Source organism: Homo sapiens, chromosome 1 (assembly GCF_000001405.40).
Source record: "Homo sapiens chromosome 1, GRCh38.p14 Primary Assembly".
Lineage (NCBI taxonomy): Eukaryota > Metazoa > Chordata > Mammalia > Primates > Hominidae > Homo > Homo sapiens.
Window position 1 is genome coordinate 32,228,635 of NC_000001.11, and position 18,125 is coordinate 32,246,759.

The window sequence follows — 18,125 nt, forward strand, 5'->3', positions numbered from 1 at the left end:
GGCTGCTCCCTCCCTCCGGCTGCACAGCTCACCCTGCCCGACTTCCCCCAGGAAAGCTCTTTACAGATTTCCCCCCTGCCTTCTCTCTCCAGCTTTTTGACTCCACAACTCTTGAACATCAGAAGACTTTCCGGACAGAACGTCCTGTCAACTCAGCTGCCCTCTCCCCCAACTATGACCATGTAAGAGAACCCCACCTGCCTTCCTGCTGAAGCCTCAGGAAGCTTCCAAGTTCTAGATGCTTGTCCAGAAGTTGGGCTACAACATTGTGGGGGAAATGATGTCAGGCAGAGAGGAGATGCCCAGAGGAGTGACAAAGCTGGAAGGATTGAATAGCCCCAGGGCAGCCAGCAGGAGGTGGCAGAAGTGTCTGATCATCCCCTACCTTTGGTATCCTCCCATTGAGCCGTGTGAGATGTTAAAAATGTATATGGCAGCAGAAAAACACAAAATGGACTTGGTGTCCATTGGTCCCATCTAGAGTTTCTTCTTCCATTCAGGTGGTCCTGGGCGGTGGTCAGGAAGCCATGGATGTAACCACAACCTCCACCAGGATTGGCAAGTTTGAGGCCAGGTAAAGAAGAAGAGAGCTCTTCCAAATTAAAATCTCATGTGGTGTACCTTTTTTGTTTGTTTTTGTTTTTGAGATGGAGTCTCGCTCTGTCGCCTAGGCTGGAGCGCAGTGGCGTGATCTCTGCTCACTGCAAGCTCTGCCTCCCGGGTTGACGCCATTCTCCTGCCTCAGCGGCCCAGGCGCCCACCACCATGCCTGGCTAATTTTCTTTTTGTATTTTTAGTAGAGACGGGGTTTCACCGTGTTAGCAAGGATGGTCTCGATCTCCTGACCTCGTGATACGCCCGCCTCAGCCTCCCAAAGTGCTGGGATTACAGGCATGAGCCACCGTGCCCAGCCTTTTTTTTTTTTTTTTTTTTTGACACGGAGTCTTGCTCTGTCACCCAGGCTGGAGTGCAATGGCGCGATCTCTGCTCACTGCAACCTCTGCTTCCCGGGTTCAAGCAATTATCCTGCCTCTGCCTCCTGGGTGGCTGGGATTACAGGCACCCATGACCACGCCTGGCTAATTTTTGTATTTTTAGTAGAGACAGGATTTCACCATGTTTGCCAGGCTGGTCTTGAACTCCTGGCCTTAAGTAATCCGCCCACCTTGGCCTTCCAGAGTGCTGGGATTACAGGCATGAGCCACTGTGCCCAGCCTTCATTATATTTCTCTATGTCTAAATTTCCTCTACTGTATAATGAGACAATGACAATATACTTAACATAAAATTATGCAGATTAAATTATTCAGTTAATATTTATTAAGCTCTTTAAGCACTGCCCAGCACATAGTAGGCACTCTATAAGTATTAGTTATGTATTCAGGCAGACATCTGGGTCCAGTCTTCCCCATATAATAAAAAAGTTAAAAAAGTAAGAGACAGGGTCTCACTATGTTGCCCAGGCTGGCCTCGAACTCCTGGGCTCAAGCAATCCTCTGTCCTCAGCCTCCCAAAGTGCTGGGATTACAGGCGTGAACCATGGCACGCAGCCACCAATTTCCATCTTATTTTGTTCACATTCACTTCTTATCTCAATTTTTCTGCTTTATTATTATTATTTTTTGAGACAGGGTCTCACTCTGTTGCCCAGGCTGGAGTGCAGTGGCACCATCTCTGCTCACCGCAACCTCCTGGGCTCAAGCGATCCTTCTACCTCAGCTTCTGAGTAGCTGGGATTACAGGTACATGGCCACCGTCCCTGGCTGCTTTTTGTATTTTTAGTAGAGATGTTGGCCAGGCTGGTCTCAAACTCCTGGCCTCAAGTGATCCACCCGCCTCGGCCTCCCAAAGTGTTGGGATTACAGGCGTGAGCCACTGCGCCTCGGCTTCTGCTTTATTTTTTGTGATACAATTTGCATTTGAGGCCAGGTGTGGTGGCTCATGCCTGTAATCCCAGCACATTGGGAGGCTAAGGAAGGCGGCTTGAGGCCAGGAGTTCGTAACCAGCCTGGCCAACATGGTGAAACCCCATCTCTACTAAAAATACAAAAATTAGCCAGGCATCTGTAATCCCAACCACTCAGGAGGCTGAGGCAGGAGAATTGCTTGAACCCAGGAGGGGGAGGTTCCAGTGAACCGAGATTGCGCCACTGTACTCCACCCTGGGTGACAGAGTAAGACTCCATCTCAAAATAAATAAATAATAATAACAATTTGCATTTGGGGAGTGCCACCTCCAAAGTGTTTTGGAAGAAGATAGAAAGTGAATTAATTGTGTCCCTTTTCCTCCAGGTTCTTCCATTTGGCCTTTGAAGAAGAGTTTGGAAGAGTCAAGGGTCACTTTGGACCTATCAACAGTGTTGCCTTCCATCCTGATGGCAAGAGGTAGGGTACCAGTGAAGCAGCTGACCTAAGCCTGGGTTGGGTCTCTGCCTTTCCCAGAGTAAGCACCTGACTGGTGCCTGGCTATCTTTTTCCAGCTACAGCAGCGGCGGCGAAGATGGTTACGTCCGTATCCATTACTTCGACCCACAGTACTTCGAATTTGAGTTTGAGGCTTAAGAAGCTGGATCTCCTGCCGGGCGTGGTGGCTCATGCCTGTAATCCCACCACTTTTTTTTTAAGGCAGGCGGATCACCTGAGGTCAGGAGTTTAAGACCAGCCTGACCAACATGGAGAAACCTCGTCTCTACTAAAAATACAAAAATTAGCCAGGCATGGTGGCACACGCCTATAGTCCCAGCTACTCAGGAGGCTGAGGCAGGAGAATCACTTGAACCCAGGAGGCAGAGGTTGCAGTGAGCTGAGATCACGTCATTGCACTCCATCCTGAGCCACAAGAGCAAAACTCCGTCTCAAAAAAAAAAAAGAAGAAGGTGGATCTCCAACCAGGCCAGAGAAGATTCTCACAGAAGGTTTTGAACTCTAAGAAATAAATTGGTTTGGTAATAAATGGCTTCTGGTCAGATATTTTGTGGTGTCTGTTTCATCATTTTTCCTTTTCACTGACACCCCAGCAAGCTGATGCTGATCATGGAGACTTTTATTATTGAGACCTCCCTATACTTTGGACACTTCAAACTTAAGACCCTCAGTACTTTTGGCTAACCTGGGTTGCAGGCACCCTCATCCAAGGTGTAAAGGTCCTAAGGGGCCTGCAGAGGTTTCAGGAACATCTCAGCTGCTATCCAAGGAGCCAGTGCTTAGAATAGGGGCTCGGCTGAAGCAGTTGGCTGAGAGGCTTCTGTCTTCTCCCTTCCTGTCACTATTTGCCACACTCTTCCCCCATGCAGCTTCTGCAGGCTCAGGTGAGCAGGTCCAGCGCAGAAACAGGCCTGAGGAGGAGGAAGACAGGTCAGGACGCTGAGCAGAGGGGTAATACCCAGGGGAGAAGGTGTGGAGCTCACCTTGCCACAGCCGCAGGCTCTGGGGCTCCACAGATGGCCAAGGGATTGAGGAGGTAGAGTGGGTTCTGGAGTCTTTGTTGCTCTTTTGGCTGGTTGAGCCCAGACCACAGGGAGTGCATCTGAGTCCTCCCTTCACACGGCATCTGCAGAAAGGCAGGGAGTGAGTTTCCAGCCCCAGGTATGCCCTCTGGGAGTCTGGGTGGGCAGCCCTGGTTAGTAGGGTGACAGCCACTTTGGAGCAGTGATAACCTTTACTTTTCTCCTTTTTCTTGCAAACATTATTGCTAGTCAGATCTTGTACTAGGCACTAGAATAAAAGGGGAACAAGACAAAGTCCTACTTCTTAAGGAGTTCTATTTAAAGGGAGAAACCAATTTAGTTTTGCCTCAATGTCAGAGAAGGCTAATTAAGAATGTGATGTTTGAGCTGAGTCTCAACAGACCTAGCATACCCACTGTGCAAAGCAACAGCCAACATGGGGAGAACGGCATGAGCCAAAGAAAGAAGGCGGGAAAGGGCCCACTGTGAATATTGATAGGTCTGGACCCAGGAGCTTTTGAAAGAAAATTGATAACAATGAAGATGCAGAGAACAGTGAGGCGGCTGCCGGAGAGTCCAGATGGAAGAGACCAGTGTGGATGAAGACGGGGGGAGGGCCTTCTGGCAAGGGAGGACCAAACTCAGACAATTTTAGGAGAAAGACTAAAGATGAAGGATGGGGGAGAGGGAGGTAAATAGAGATGATCCAGGACTAGTGGGGTTAGTGAAGCAGGATGGGGTATAGAGGAAGACTGAGCAACAGAAGATAACTAAATCTGATCTTCACCCTGGAAAGGTGAACCCTCCCTCCCCGCATCTCTCAATCTCATAAGACAGCTGGCATCTGGGACTGATAGGCAGCATATGCAACAAGCCAACCAAATAATAAAAATACCACTTCTTTTATTTACTTATTTATTTATTTATTTATTTAATGGAGTCCCACCCTGTTGCCTAGGCTGGAATGCAATGGCATGATCTCGGCTCACTGCAACCTCTGCTTCCCAGGTGCAAGCAATTCTCATGCCTTAGCTTCCCAAGTGGCTGGGATTACAGGCATGTGCCAACACGCCCGGCTAATTATATTTTTTTGAGATGGAGTCTTGCTCTGACACCTAGGCTGGAGTGCAGTGGTGGGATCTTGGCTTACTGCAACCTCTGACTCCCAGGTTCAAGTGATTCTCCTGCCTCAGCCACCTGAGTAGCTGGGACTACAGGCGGGTGCCAACATGCCCGGCTAATTTTTTGTATTTTTAGTAGGCAGGGGGTTTCACCATGTTAGCCAGGGTGGTCTCGATCTCCTGACCTTGTGATCTGCCCACCTCAGCCTCCCAAAGTGCTGGGATTACAGGTGTGAGCCACCGTGCCAGGCCTAATTTTTTGTATTTTTAGTAGAGATGGGGTTTTACCATGTTGGCCAGGCTGGTCTCAAACTCCTGATCTCAGGTGACCTGCCTGCCTCAGCTCCCAAAGTGCTGGGATTACAGGCGTGAGCCACCGCGCCCGGCCAGATTATGGCTGCTCTTATCCCCTTCATGCTACCGATGAGATTGAGACTCAGACGGGTTTGCTATGAACACCCAGCAGGTGAGTGGTGAAACTGGAATTTGAGCCCAAATGATTCCACTCTGCTTTCAACCTCTGTTCTATTGCTTTGAAACAATCGACCTTGCAAAGTGGTAGAGAGCCTTATAAATTATTTTTGCAGCAAATTTCCCCTTTAATCCTTGTTTTCAAGGTAGGGGTTCACTTGCAATTGGCTATGGACAGAGTAGGTCTGTCTAAAGGATTGGCCTTGGACCTATTTATCTCTGGGTTTGCAGAAGTTAGGAGGAAGTATGAGATTTGGAGGTGGGGCAAGGAGAACACTCAGTTTTCCTAAAAGACAAACCCACTTGAATTCGGGAAAGATGGCTCCTAAGGAAGTAAGGTGCTGGCTGGGCGGAGTGACTCACGCTTGTAATCCCAGCACTTTAGGAGGCCGAGGTGGGCAGATCACCTGAGGTCAGGAGTTTGAGATCAGACTGGCCAATATGGTGAAACTCCATCTATACTAAAAGTATAAAAATTAGCCGGACGTGGTGGCACATTCCTGTAATCCCAGCTACTCGGGAGGCTGAGGCTGGAGAATAGCTTGAACCAGGGAGGCAAAGGTTGCAGTGAGCCCAGATCGTGCCACTGCGCTCCAGACCAGGCGACAGGTGACAGAGCGAGACTTCATCTCAAAAAAAAAAAAAAAAAGGAAGTAAGGCACTGATGGCACAGGTATCCAACCCTTTCCTGTGCCTGCCCCTAAGCTACCTCAACACCCCCTCAGCTCACCTCTCCTTTTCGCTGTTGCAGAGGAAGGTGCCAAAAGAGGAGGCATAGGCGTGCCCAAACAGCGCCAACAGTAGCCCTTCCCCAAACTCCAATGACAGTGGGAACCGGCAGCCCAGCTGCCACACGCAGTCCAGGAAGAGGAGAAAGGTGGGTGCCTCATGCTTGGGGTGGGCATGGGAGAAGGCTGAATGGGCACAGCGCAGCTGGAAGGGGTGGCTGGCCTGGGGAGGGGGCAGAGCAATGGGCACGAGGAAGCAAGTTTCTGGATGGAGGGTAAGGCTGGGGTTGGGTGGTCACTTACTTTCCTGGATCCACTTCCACTCCACCAGTTCCTGGAATCCAGCCATGGTCTTGCTCAAGGGGTCCAGGATGAGTTGGGCCAGTGAAGTCACAAGCAGGGTGCTGTCTGTGCCTTCAGCCCCATGTACCAGGCCAGGAATAGAATGGACCCAGTTCTAGGCTATATTTGCTTACTGAATCACAGTTTTGCATCCAGGGGTTGAGAGCCCTGCCCATCTCACCCTATTCTCTATGTCAATGGGGCCTTACCTCTCCATGCCCTGGACTGCCAGGCAGGTGGTGCTCAGTGCCTGCTTTACATGTTACAGTCAGCGGCAGCCGTCCAGCCGACTCAGCCAGTTGTCCATGCTTTGCTCCGAGTCCCCACAGGCCTCCACCAGGCGCATGAAGCTCTCCTGCAGGGGACGCCCTCTGGGCGGTGGGAGTCTGGTCATCTTTTCCAGCTCAAGCCCTTGCCAAGTACAGCCAGGGAGCAAGTGCTCAAGACCAATGAGGGAGACACAGAATCCTGTAAAGAGCCCATCTGATAAAAGGGACACAGAGCCCTTTAGGGAGTCCAGTCTCACGGCACACACGACCCACAGAGGAGTTCCTAATCTTTGAGACAGCGTCTCGTTCTGTCCATGAAATGGTTTTTTTTTTTTTTTGAGACGGAATCTTGCTCTGTCTCCAGGCTGGAGTGCAGTGGTGCGATCTCAGCTCACTGCAACCTCCGCCTCCCGGGTTTAAGTGATTCTTCTGCCTCAGCCTCCAGAGTAGCTGGGACTACAGGCGACCGCCACCACACCCAGCTAGTTTTTGCATTGTTAGGTTTCACCATGTTGGCCAGAATGGTCTCGGACTCCTGACCTTGTGATCCGCCCACCTCGGCCTCCCAAAGTGCTGGGATTACAGGCATGAGCCACCGCGCCCAGCCTAAAATGGTTTCTTAGCTTTGAGGATTCCTCAGTCTGATGGGAGAGACTCAAGACCCTTTGAGAAAGTACCTGGGGAAGGGTCACATAGCCCTCTGGGGAAACACACAATGTCCTGGGAAACCACCAATTTGATGGAAGTATCACAACACCCTTGATGTACACCAGTCTGATGGGAGCAACATAGCATTCCCTGGGGAGCCCCGGTCTGACAAGAAAAACACAGTTCTCTTGGAATTCTGCATCTGCTCCTACCTCCCAGAAACTGCTCTGTTCAAGGTTACTGGTGACCTCCTGCCAGAAAATCTAACAGCGACTTCTCAGCTCTGTTTAAAAGCCTTCAGTGGCTGCCCACTGCCTTGAGGATAAAGTCTAAGCTTATCTGTAGCCTCATCTGTCCTCCCATTTCATACTCGACACTCCCACCATACCAAAGGACATTAGTTGACCCCATCCATGGTTTCACTTTCTGAGGTTTCAGTTACCCATGGTCAACTGTGGCCTGAAAATATTAAATGGAAAATTCCAGAAATAAACAATTCATAAGTTTTAAATTGTAAGCCCTTCTGAATGTTGTGACGAAATCTTGAGTCACCCTGCTCTGTCTCGCTGGATAGGAGTCATCCCTTTGTCCAGCATATCCATGCTGCACACACTGTCTGCCCATTAGTCACTTAGTAGCTGTCTTGGTTATCAGAGTGACTGTGGCAGTACTGCAGTGGGCTTGTGTTCAAGGTCAGTAGGAGCCTAAGGCTGCATTACAAGGCCTATGTCATTCACCACATCTCATCACATGGGCATTTAAGCATCTCACATCATCACAAGAAGGGTGAGTATAGTACAATAAGATATTTTAAGAAAGAGATCACATTCATACAACTGTTTATTTTTTTTAGATTGAGTCTCACTCTAGGTCACCCAGGCTGGAGTGCAGTGGCGCAATCTCAGCTCACTGCAACCTCTGCCTCCTGGGTTCAAGCGATTCTCCTGCCTCAGCCTCCTGAGTAGCTGGGACTACAGGAGCCCGTCACCACACCTGGCTAATTTTTTTTGTATTTTTAGTAGAGACAGGGTTTCACCATGTTAGCCAGGATGGTCTCGATCTCCTGACCTCGTGACCCACCTAGCTCGGCCTCCCAAAGTGCTGGGATTACAGGCGTGAGCTACCATGCCCGGCCTCATACAACTTTTTTTTTTTGGAGTTTCACTCTTGTTGCCCAAGCTGGAGTGTAATGGCGTGATCTCGGCTCACTGCAACCTCCACCTCCCAGTTTCAAGCGATTCTCCTGCCTCAGCCTCCCAAATAGCTGGGATTACAGGCCCGCACCACACCTGGCTAATTTTTTGTATTTTTAGTAGAAGTGGGGTTTCACCATGTTAGCCAGGCTAGTCTCGAACTCCTGACCTCAGGTGATCCACCCGCCTTGGTCTCCCAAAGTGCCAGGATTACAGGCATGAGCCACCGCACCCGGCCATTTTTTTTTTGTTTTTTTTTTTGAGACAGGGTCTCATTCTGTCAGCCAGCCTCGAGTGCAGTGGTGTGATTACAGTTCACTGCAGCCTCCACCTCCCGGGGCTCCAGTGATCTCCCACCTCAGCCTCTTGAGTAGCTGGGCCTACAGGAGCACACCACCATGCCTGGCTAATTTTGGGACAGGATCTTGCTCTCACCCAGGCTGGAGTGCAGTGGCACAATTACAGCTCACTGCAACCTCTGCCTCCCAGGCTCAAGCCATCCACCTCAGCCTCTTGAGAAGCTGGGACTACAGGTGTGCACCACCACATGTAGCTAATTTTTTTTTTTTTTTTTTTTTGAGATGGAGTTTCATTCTTGTTGCCTAGGCTGGAGTGCAATGGTGCTATCTCAGCTCACTGCAACCTCTGCCTTTCAGGTTCAAGCGATTCTCCTGCCTCAGTCTCCTGAGTAGCTGGGATTAAAGGCATGTGCCATCACGCCCGGCTAATTTTGTATTTTTAGTAGAGACGGCGTTTCTCCATGTTGGTCAGGCTGGTCTCAAACTCCTGACCTCAGGTGATCTTCCCGCCTCAGCCTCCCAAAATGCTGGGATTACCAGCATGAGCCACCACACCCAGCCAATTTTTGTATTTTGTACAGAGACAGGGTCTCCCTATGTTGCCCAGGCTGGTCTCAAACTCTTGGGCTCAAGGGATCCACCCTCCTCAGCCTGCCAAAGTGCTGAGATGACAGGCATAAGTCACTGTGCCCAGCCACAATCTTCTAAATCTCCAAAAATACCTATCTTTTACCTCAGCACCTGACCTATACAACTTTTATTATAGCATATTATTGTAATTGTTCTACTTTATTATTAGTTATTGTTGTGCTTACTGTATAAATTAAACTTGGCTGGATGCAGTGGCTCACGCTTGTAATCCTAGTACTTTGGGAGACTGAAGCAGGTGGATTGCCCGAGCTCAGGAGTTCAAGACCACCCTGAGTGACATGATGAAACCCCATCTCTGCTAAAATACAAAAAAAAGGCTGGGCGTGGTGGCTCATGCCTGTAATCCCAACACTTTGGGAGGCTGAGATGGGCAGACCACTTGAGGTGAGGAGTTCCAGACTAGCCTGGCCAACATGGCAAAACCCCATCTCTGCTAAAAATACAAAAATTAGCCGGGCCTGGTGGCACGCGCCTGTAGTCCCAGCTACTCAGGAGACTGAGGCGAGAGAATCACTTGAACCCGGGGAATGGAGGTTGCAGTGAGCCAAGATCACACCACTGCACTCCAGACTGGGCAACAAAGAGAGATTCTATCTCAAAAATAATAATAATAAAATAAAATACAAAAAAAAAATTAGCTGGGCATGGTGGCAGGCTCCTGTAGTCCCAACTACTTGGGAGGCTGAGGTATGAGAATTGCTTGCATCTGGGAGGCAGAGGTTGCAGGGAGCTGAGATCGCACCATCACACTCCAGCCTGGGCGACAGAGTGAGACTCTGTCTCAAAAAATAATAAAATAAAATAAAATACAGAAAAGAAAATTAGCCAGGCATGGTGGCACGTGCATGTAGTCCCAGCTACTTGGGAGGCTGAGATGGGAGAGTTACTTGAACCCAGGAAATGGAGGTTGCAGAGAGCCAAGATCACGCTACTGCACTCCAGCCTGGGAAACAAAGCAAGACTCCATCTTAAAAAATAATTATTATGATAAAATAAAATAAGATAAAATACAAAAAAAAAAAAAAAATTAGCTGGGCGTGGTGGCAGGTGCCTGTAATCCCGGCTATTTGGGAAGCTGAGGCAGGAGAATCACTTGAACCTGGGAGGAGGAGGTTGCAGTGAGCCAAGATAGCGCCACTGCACTCCAGCTTGGGTGACAGAGCGAGACTCTTGTCTCAAAAAAATAAAATAAAATAAATAAAAATAATAAAATAAATTAAACTTTATCATAGGTATGGAAAAACATACTGTCTGTAGGGTTTGGTACTATCTGAGGCTTCAGGCATTCACTGGGGATCTTGGAACATACTTCCCGAGGATAAGGGGGGACTACTGTACTTGGCAGTTCCCCAAACAGGACAAATGACCAGGCTGTCTCTGCACCTGGACACTTGCAATTCCCTCCACATGCAGGGTCTTTCTTCTTCTGGCTCACTCCTCCATTTTTGGGTCTCAGCTAAAGCATCCTATTCTCAAGGAAACCTCTGATTACCTGAAGTTGGTGTAGTAAGAGAGGGGCACCTCCTCTGCGCTGCTGCTCATCTCAGGGGAGCCTGATTGCCCATTCTCTGCTGATCTCTGCCATGTCTGAGCCGGCCACTGTGGCAGCCCCTGTGCTCAGTGCTGGGTAAATAAATGAATAAACAGAGCTTTGTATTTTGGATAGGGAAGCAGTCTACTCTCCTCAAAACACAAAACTCCCTCAGGACCTCTTCTTGGCACTGCCATCGCCTGGAGACAGAGGGAACAGATCACATCTGTGCAGGTGCAGCCCTCAGGGAGGGGGTGCGTGTGTGCAGGGAGGTTGTTCCGGGAAGACAAATTTCAGTTTAATGTAAAGAGGTGCTTTTTCTTCCCAGGCAAAGTTGGGGTGCCTAAAGAGTAAGGAGCTCTCTCAGTGGTGGTGTGCAAGTGGGGTTGCTCATGTGGAGGGATGACACCAGGAAAGGCTTGAGTCTTCAAGGTTCCTGGAGGACCCCCCGCCTCCCGCCAACACATACTCACACACATGTACATTCACAGAGCCCTGCAGGAGAGGGCCTGGGAGAGGGTGGGAGGCCCCTTACCTCTCCAGGGACCAGTGCAACCAGCCAGGTTAAGCGGCCTTGGTCTCTGTGCCTCCGCCAGTCACGCGGGCTTGTTTCGCGGCCTGGGCCGAGAGCGTGTCCATGATGAAGCCCCGCGCCCAAGGACGAGCCCCCGCCAGCGCAGTTCGCAGCAGCTCCTGGTCCCTGTAGCAGCGCCGCTTCTGGGGACCAGTTAGGGGCTGGCTGGAGCGTAGCAGAACCTGCGGACCGGACTCAGTTCTGGAAGTGACCCCTCAGCCTTAGGGGTCCTCTAAGCCAGGTCTGCACAGCGACAGGCTGGAGTGCAACGACCAGGGCGAACTCACGAGGCTTCGGACCAGTCTGGGGGTGTTGTGGCCAAAGTGGTTTGGGACCCTATGAATAGACCGTGGGCGGGTCCTGGCTTGACAAAGAAGGGACTAAGCTTCGCGGGGCCCGGAACCGTCAGGGGCGGGGCCAGAGAAAGGTGATACCCTTCCCAGCGAAAAGGCGGGAGAGGGGCGGGACCAGAATGGGGCAGGAGTTGGGGCAGCGGCTACGCCGCGAATTGACCGGGCCAAAAAGAAAAGGCCCAGAAAGGACGCAGCCACCCAGGGGCGGAGCGTGGGGAGGGCGCGCTCCCTCTGCCGCTGGGAGCCGGGTGGTAGCTGAGCACCGGGAAGCGACCTCCCTGACGGAAGCGGGCGCTGCGCGCCAGGGCATCATCGTCCACCAAGTATGGCACGATCACCGCACGGGGGTATCTGGGGCACAAGCTGAAGTCCTCGTTCACCTCGCTCAGCCGCCACGCGTTGGTCTGCAGCGCAGGGAGGAGAGAGGCCAGGTCTAGGGCACCCAGGGAGTGCCCTGTCCCCGCGCCTCTTCCAGGCCCGGCGCTTCCACCTTCCCGGGCCCCTACGACCGCGCCCACTTCGCGAGCTACTCTCTTGCAGTAGAGTTCGGGCGGGAGGAAGTGCCAGGAGTCGCCCAATCTCAGGCCCTTGGGACGGTAGAATAAAGGGAAGGAGGTGATGACTGATTCCAGGGAGGACAGCGTCCGGAGAAGGAAGTCAGGGGCTCTGGGGAGGGTCGGAATTGTCTCGCCCGCGCCCTTTCCAGCCCCTCAGTCCTGTAGCTTCAGCTTCGGCCTCTCCAAGTACCCCGGACCACCCTGCATCCCCCTGCCATTTAGCTGCGGCTGCGGAGCCTCTTTGAACAGAAGCACCTTTTTATTCCCCTCTACGCGAGACAGGGAGAGCTTAAAGGGCTCGGGAGCTCCCTCGGCACACCTCGATGGAGCGGGCGATGCCCAGCGTCGCTTCCGCGCCCTCTATTTCCAGCTGCAGCACTCGCAGGTCTTTACAGCACAGGGTGATGGTGCCCGAGTCACTCGCAACCCTGGGGAGGGACGTTCCTTTCCCAGGAGAGGGGCAACGAGTTTCCCGGATTGGGCTTACGCAGGAGGGCGCCAGCTCTGACTGCGCTGGCCGTGCCCCCTACTCCGCCAAGCCGCGCGCTCCCCAACCCCGGGGACCCTCCCCCACCCCGCCACGTCTCACTGCTTCTCGAAGGAGTCGACGCTACGCAACAGCAGCAGCCACAGGTCCGGAGAGGACGCGGGCCCTGGCGACAGGAGCAGGTGGTGGACGGTGACTCACACCGTGCCGCGAAGCGGGGGCGCCTCCGGGCCCCGTAGAAACTCTGCTTGGGCTCAGCCCGTATGGATCAGCTCCGAGAACTCCATTCTGCCAGTGAGAGACCCGGGGCCCAGCAGAAGGCCAGACTCTGAGAGCGTCAGGAGGGGCAGGCTGGAGCTCCGAAAGGGATAGGAACTGCCTGGGCAGCTGGCGACGCCGTCTGGACAGCTGTTAAGGAGGCCCCTCAGAGGAAAGGATCACAGTTTCACAGGAATTTCCCCTCATATTGCCAATATTTCTTAGCGAGGTCCCTGGCCAGAGACTGTTATAAGCAAATCTCCATGTCATCGTCTGTGAAATGGGGAGAATAATCTTGCCTAAAGTCCTTAACCCTGTGCCTGGGTTGCAGGAGACACTCAATATTTTTGTATTTTTGTTTTTTCAAGCCCTGAGGTGCTAGCACTACTGCTAACTTTAAAAAGAAAGAAAGACTGGGCGCAGTGGCTCAGGCCTGTAATCCCAACACTTTGGGAGACCGAGGCGGGGCGGATCACCTGAGGTCAGGAGTTCGAGACCACCCTGGCTAACATGGTGAAACCCTGTTTCTACTAAAAATACAAAAAATTGGCCAGGCGTGGTGGCTCACACCTGTAATCCCAGCACTTTGGGAGGCCGAGGCGGGCCGATCACGAGGTCAGGAGATCGAGACCATCGTGGCCAACATAATGAAACCCCGTCTCCACTAAAAATACAAAACTAACTAGGCATGGTGGCGTGCACCTGTAATCCCAGCTACTCGGGAGGCTGAGGCAGGAGAATCGCTTGAACCCAGGAGACCAAGGTTGCAGTGAGATGAGATAGCGCCATTGCACTCCAGCCTGGGCAACAAGAGCAAACTCCGTCAAAAAAGAGAAAAGAAAGAAGAAAGGAAGGAAGGAGGGAGGGAGGGAAGGAAGGAAGGAAGGAAAGAAAGAAGGAAGGAAGGAAGGAAGGAAAGGAAGAAAGATAACTATCTCTTCCACCATACCCTGGTGGAAGGGCTGGAAAGTGGGTGTGAAACTGGGAACTGCCTACTTCCTCCCATACATAAGAAACTTGGGTTGGGGAAATCCTTTGGTCCACCTTAAATGCTGCAGCTGTGTAGCTGGCGTCCCTCCTCGACCTCGCAGCTGGAAGTCCCTGCCTGAGGGCGCCCTCTGTGCAGCCCACTTCTGGCTGAGTCCAGACCTCAAGAACCCCATCAGCTATCCACCATCGTTTCAGCAAGTGTGTATTACCTGTACAGTGAGTTAGCTGGGCCCTGTGTTTGGTGCTGGGGCCCAGGGATGACTGGGGAAGATTCTGTTCACAGGGTTTTCAGTCTGGCAAGAGACACAATTAAGCTGGTAAAATTGCAGGACGAGAGCTGAGCTGATTTACCACAGGACCCATCTATTCATCCATCCGTCTTCTTTTTCTTTTGTAAATATTTTTGTGGAGATGGGGGTCTCCCTGTTTTGCCCAGGCTGGTCTTCAACTCCAAGCCTCAAGCAATGCTCCTGCTGCATGGCCTCCCAAAGTGCTGGGATTACAGGCATGAGCCACCATGCCCAGCTTATTTTATTTATTTATTTATTTATTTATTTTCTTTCTTTCTTTTTAATTGAGAATAAAGGAATAGGGCTGGGTGCGGTGGCTTACCCCTGTAATCCCAACCCTTTGGGAGGCTGAGGTGGGTGGATACCTTGAGGCCAGAAGTTCAAGAACAGCCTGGCCAACATGGCTAAATCTGGTCTCTACTAAAAATACAAAAATTAGCCAGGCATGGTGGTATGTGCTTGTAGTCCCAGCTACTCGGGAAGCTGAGGCAGGAGAGTCCCTTGAACCCGAGAAACGGAGGCTGCAGTGAGCTGAGATCGCACCACTGCACTCTAGCCTGGGCAACAGAGCAAGACTCTGCCTCAAAAAAAAAAAAAAAAAAAAAAGCCAAGCGAGTTGGCTCACTCCTGTAATCCCAGCACTTTGGGAGTCCAAGGCAGGCGGATCACTTGAGGTCAGGAGTTCAAGACCAGCGTGGCCAATATGGTGAAACCCTGTCTCTACTAAAAATAGAAAAATTTGTCAGGCATGGTGGCTCGCACCTGTAGTCCTAGCTACTTGGGAGGCTGAGGCAGGAGAATTGCTTGAACCCAGGAGGTGGATGTTGCAGTGAGCTGAGATCACGCCACTGCACTCTAGCTTGGGCAATAGAGTGAGACTTGTATCAAAAAAAAAAAAAAAAAGAAAAGAAAAAAGAAAGAAAAAGAATAGAGGAATAGGGAGAGGAGTGGTGGCTCATGGCCATAATCCTAGCACTTTGGGAGACCGAGGCAGGAGGATCACTTGAGCCCAGGAGTTTGAGACCAGCCTGGGCAACATGGTGAAACCCCAACTCTACCAAAAACACAAAAAATTAGCCAGGTGTGGCATGGGCCTGTGGTCCCAGCTACTTGGGAGGCTGAGGTGGGAGGATCACTTGAGCCTGGGAGGTGGGGGTTGCAGTGAGCTGAGATTGCACCACTGCACTCCAGCTTGGGTGACAGAGTGAGACCCCGTCTCATTAAAAAAAAAAAAAAAAAAAAAAGAGGCCGGGCACGGTGGCTCACACCTGTAATCCCAGCACTTTGGGAGGCCAAGAAGAGCGGATCACGAGGTCAAGAGATCAAGACCATCCTGGCTGACACGGTGAAACCCTGTCTCTACTAAAAATACAAAAAAATTAGCGGGGCATGGTGGCAGGCACCTGTAGTCCCAGCTACTTGGGAGGCTGAGGCAGGAGAATGGCATGAACCCAGGAGGTGGAGCTTGCAGTAAGCCTAGATTGCACCACTGCACTCCAGCCTGGGCGACAAAGTGAGACTCCGTCTCAAAAAAATAAAAAAGAAAAGAATAGGCTGGGCGCAGTGGCTCACGCCTGTAATCCCAGCACTTTGGGAGGCTGAGGTGGGTGGATCACTTGAGGTCAGGAGTTCGAAACCAGCCTGGCCAACATGGCGAAACCCCGTCTCTACTAAAATATACAAAAATTAGTGGTGGCAGGCAACTTAATCCCAGCTACTTGGGAGGCAGAGGCAGGAGAATCTTTTGAACCCGGGAGGCGGAGGTTGCAATGAGCCGAGATTGAGCCATTGCACTCAAACCTGGGGGATGAGTGAGACTTCTCTCAAAAAAAAAAAAAAAAAAAAAAGAGAAGAAAAGAAAAAAAGAATAAAGGAATAAAACAATGGTACTTCATAGATACAGAAGCCTTTTTTTAATTTTTTATTTTGAGACAGGTCGGCCTCTGTCACCCAGGCCTGGAGTGTAGTGATGTGATCAGGGCTCACTGCAGCAGCTTTGCCCTTCTGGGCTCAAGCAATCCTTCCATCTCAGTCTCCCAGGTAGTTGGGCACAGGCATGTGCCACCATGCCCTAATTTTTTTTTCTTTCTCATCCTCTTTCAATCCTGTTATTTATTTATTTATTTTTTTGAGACGGAGTCTCGATCTCCTGACCTCGTGATCCGCCCGCCTCGGCCTCCCAAAGTGCTGGGATTACAGGCGTGAGCCACCGCGCCCGGCGAGACGGAGTCTCACTCTGTTGCCCAGGCTGGAGTGCAGTGGCGCAATCTCGGCTCACTGCAAGCTCCGCCTCCCGGGTTCACGCCATTCTCCTGCCTCAGCCTCCCAAGTAGCTGGGACTACAGGTGCCTGCCACCATGCCCAGCTAATTTTTTTGTATTTTTTTAGTAGAGATGGGGTTTCACCATGTTAGCCAGGATGGTCTCGATCTCCTGACCTCGTGATCCACCCACCTTGGCCTCCCAAAGTGCTGGGATTACAGGCGTGAACCACCGCGCCTGGCTGAGTTCAAAACCATTATGAGCAACAGAGGAAGACCTCATCTCTATCAAAAACTTAAAAAAAAAAAAAATTAGCTGGGTGTGGGGTCTTGGCCCTGTAAGTCCCAGCTACTGAGGAGGTCAAGCAAGAGAATCACCTGAGTCCAAGAGTTCAAGGTTGCAGTGAGCTGTAATCCCACCACTGCACTCCAGCCTGGCAACAAAGCAAGACCCTGTCTCGAAAAAAAAAAAAAGCATAAATTGTAAAATTCCAGACCAGCAGCAGCAGCTGGGATGGGAATTTGGTAGAAATGCAGATTACCAGGCCCCACCCCATACATACTGAATCTGAAACTCTGGGTGGTGGGGCCTAGCCATCTTAGCAAGCTTTCTAGGTGATTCTGATGCATGCTAAAGTTTGTGAACCACTAGAAGGCATATAAACAGAGAAAACTATGCTGTTAGAATGAGGGTGGTGTTACCCTTAGATTAGTGACAGGCCAGGAGCACATGGGAGGCTAACAGCGGTTCCTGGGTGCTGGTAATACTCTGTTGCTTGATCTGGGTGCTGGTTACATGGATGTGTTCAGTTTGGGAGAATTCATCGAGCCATACATTCATTTATTTACTTATTTACTTATTTTTTGAGATGGAGTTTCGCTCTTTTTGCCCAGGCTAGAGTGCAGTGGTGTGATCTTGGCTCACTGCAACCTCCGCCTCCAGGCTCCAGTGATTCTCCTGCCTCATCCTCCTGGGTAGCTGGGATTACAGGCATGCACCACCACGCCCAGCTCATTTTGTATTTTTAGTAGAGATAGGGTTTCACCATGTTGGCCAGGCTGGTCTTAAACTCCTGACCTCAGGTGATCTGCCCGCCTCAGCCTCCCAAAATGTTGGGATTACAGGCGTGAGCCACCGTGTCTCCATGCATTTATGATATGTACAGTTTTTCTGTGTGTATGTTACACTTCTTTCCCCTTCCTTCCTTCCTTCCTTCCTTCCTCCCTCCCTCCCTTCTCTCTCTCTCTCTCTCTCTTTCCTTCTTTCTTTCTTTTGACAGAGTCTTGCTTTGTCACCCAGGCTGGAATGCAATGGCTCGATCTCGGCTCACTGCAACCTCTGCCTCCCGGGTTCAAGCGATTCTCTTGCCTCAGCCTCCCAAGTAGCTGGGACTACAGATGCATGCTACCACACTCGGCTAATTTTTTGTATTTTTAGTAGAGACGGGGTTTCACCGTGTTAGCCAGGATGGTCTTAAACTCCTGACTTCGTGATCCGCCCACCTCGGCTTCCCAAAGTGCAGGGATTACAGGCGTGAGCCACTGCACCTGTCCTTCTGTGTGTATGTTATGTTTGAAAACAAAGTTTAAAAAAGGGAACTGCTCTGGTTGAAGCCCTGGGAGGGGCAGGGAGATGGAAGGCAAGGAGCCCATCCAC

The 18,125-nt window shown here is 51.1% G+C and overlaps 1 protein-coding gene and 1 pseudogene across 4 annotated transcripts in view, besides 4 other annotated features; one reads left to right on the plus strand and one right to left on the minus strand.

Moving 5' to 3' along the window:
- The window catches only part of EIF3I (eukaryotic translation initiation factor 3 subunit I), a 13,764-nt gene extending 6,228 nt beyond the window's left edge, over positions 1 to 7,536 (plus strand). For 2 of the 3 annotated variants that reach the window (NM_003757.4, XM_024450518.2), the window contains 4 exons: positions 93 to 182; positions 501 to 574; positions 2,293 to 2,385; positions 2,481 to 2,970. In NM_003757.4, the coding sequence (NP_003748.1) occupies positions 93 to 182; positions 501 to 574; positions 2,293 to 2,385; positions 2,481 to 2,562 (339 nt within the window). In that variant the 3' untranslated portion in view covers positions 2,563 to 2,970. Of the gene's footprint in view, positions 1 to 92; positions 183 to 500; positions 575 to 2,292; positions 2,386 to 2,480; positions 2,971 to 5,789; positions 5,916 to 6,376 lie in introns of those variants that run through there. The other variant, NM_001394168.1, reaches the window with a different exon arrangement.
- Positions 3,026 to 13,076, minus strand: MTMR9LP (myotubularin related protein 9 like, pseudogene; annotated as a pseudogene). The gene is made up of 7 exons (NR_026850.1): positions 12,503 to 13,076; positions 11,235 to 12,030; positions 10,661 to 10,791; positions 6,318 to 6,576; positions 6,070 to 6,180; positions 3,408 to 3,550; positions 3,026 to 3,335 (listed from the first exon to the last, which is right to left on the minus strand). The product of NR_026850.1 is annotated as a myotubularin related protein 9 like, pseudogene (transcript).
- Positions 4,135 to 4,635: an enhancer, noted in NCBI's record as "H3K27ac hESC enhancer chr1:32698370-32698870 (GRCh37/hg19 assembly coordinates)". NCBI's record gives its function as "activates a minimal SCP1, AML or CMV promoter by ChIP-STARR-seq in primed H9 embryonic stem cells {active_cell/tissue: H9 hESC(primed)}" and the evidence as "EXISTENCE:reporter gene assay evidence [ECO:0000049][PMID:30033119]".
- Positions 12,419 to 12,468: an enhancer, noted in NCBI's record as "active region_676". NCBI's record gives its function as "activates an Ori minimal core promoter by ATAC-STARR-seq in GM12878 lymphoblastoid cells {active_cell/tissue: GM12878}" and the evidence as "EXISTENCE:reporter gene assay evidence [ECO:0000049][PMID:35858748]".
- Positions 12,589 to 12,738: a silencer, noted in NCBI's record as "silent region_586". NCBI's record gives its function as "represses an Ori minimal core promoter by ATAC-STARR-seq in GM12878 lymphoblastoid cells {active_cell/tissue: GM12878}" and the evidence as "EXISTENCE:reporter gene assay evidence [ECO:0000049][PMID:35858748]".
- Positions 12,879 to 13,188: an enhancer, noted in NCBI's record as "active region_677". NCBI's record gives its function as "activates an Ori minimal core promoter by ATAC-STARR-seq in GM12878 lymphoblastoid cells {active_cell/tissue: GM12878}" and the evidence as "EXISTENCE:reporter gene assay evidence [ECO:0000049][PMID:35858748]".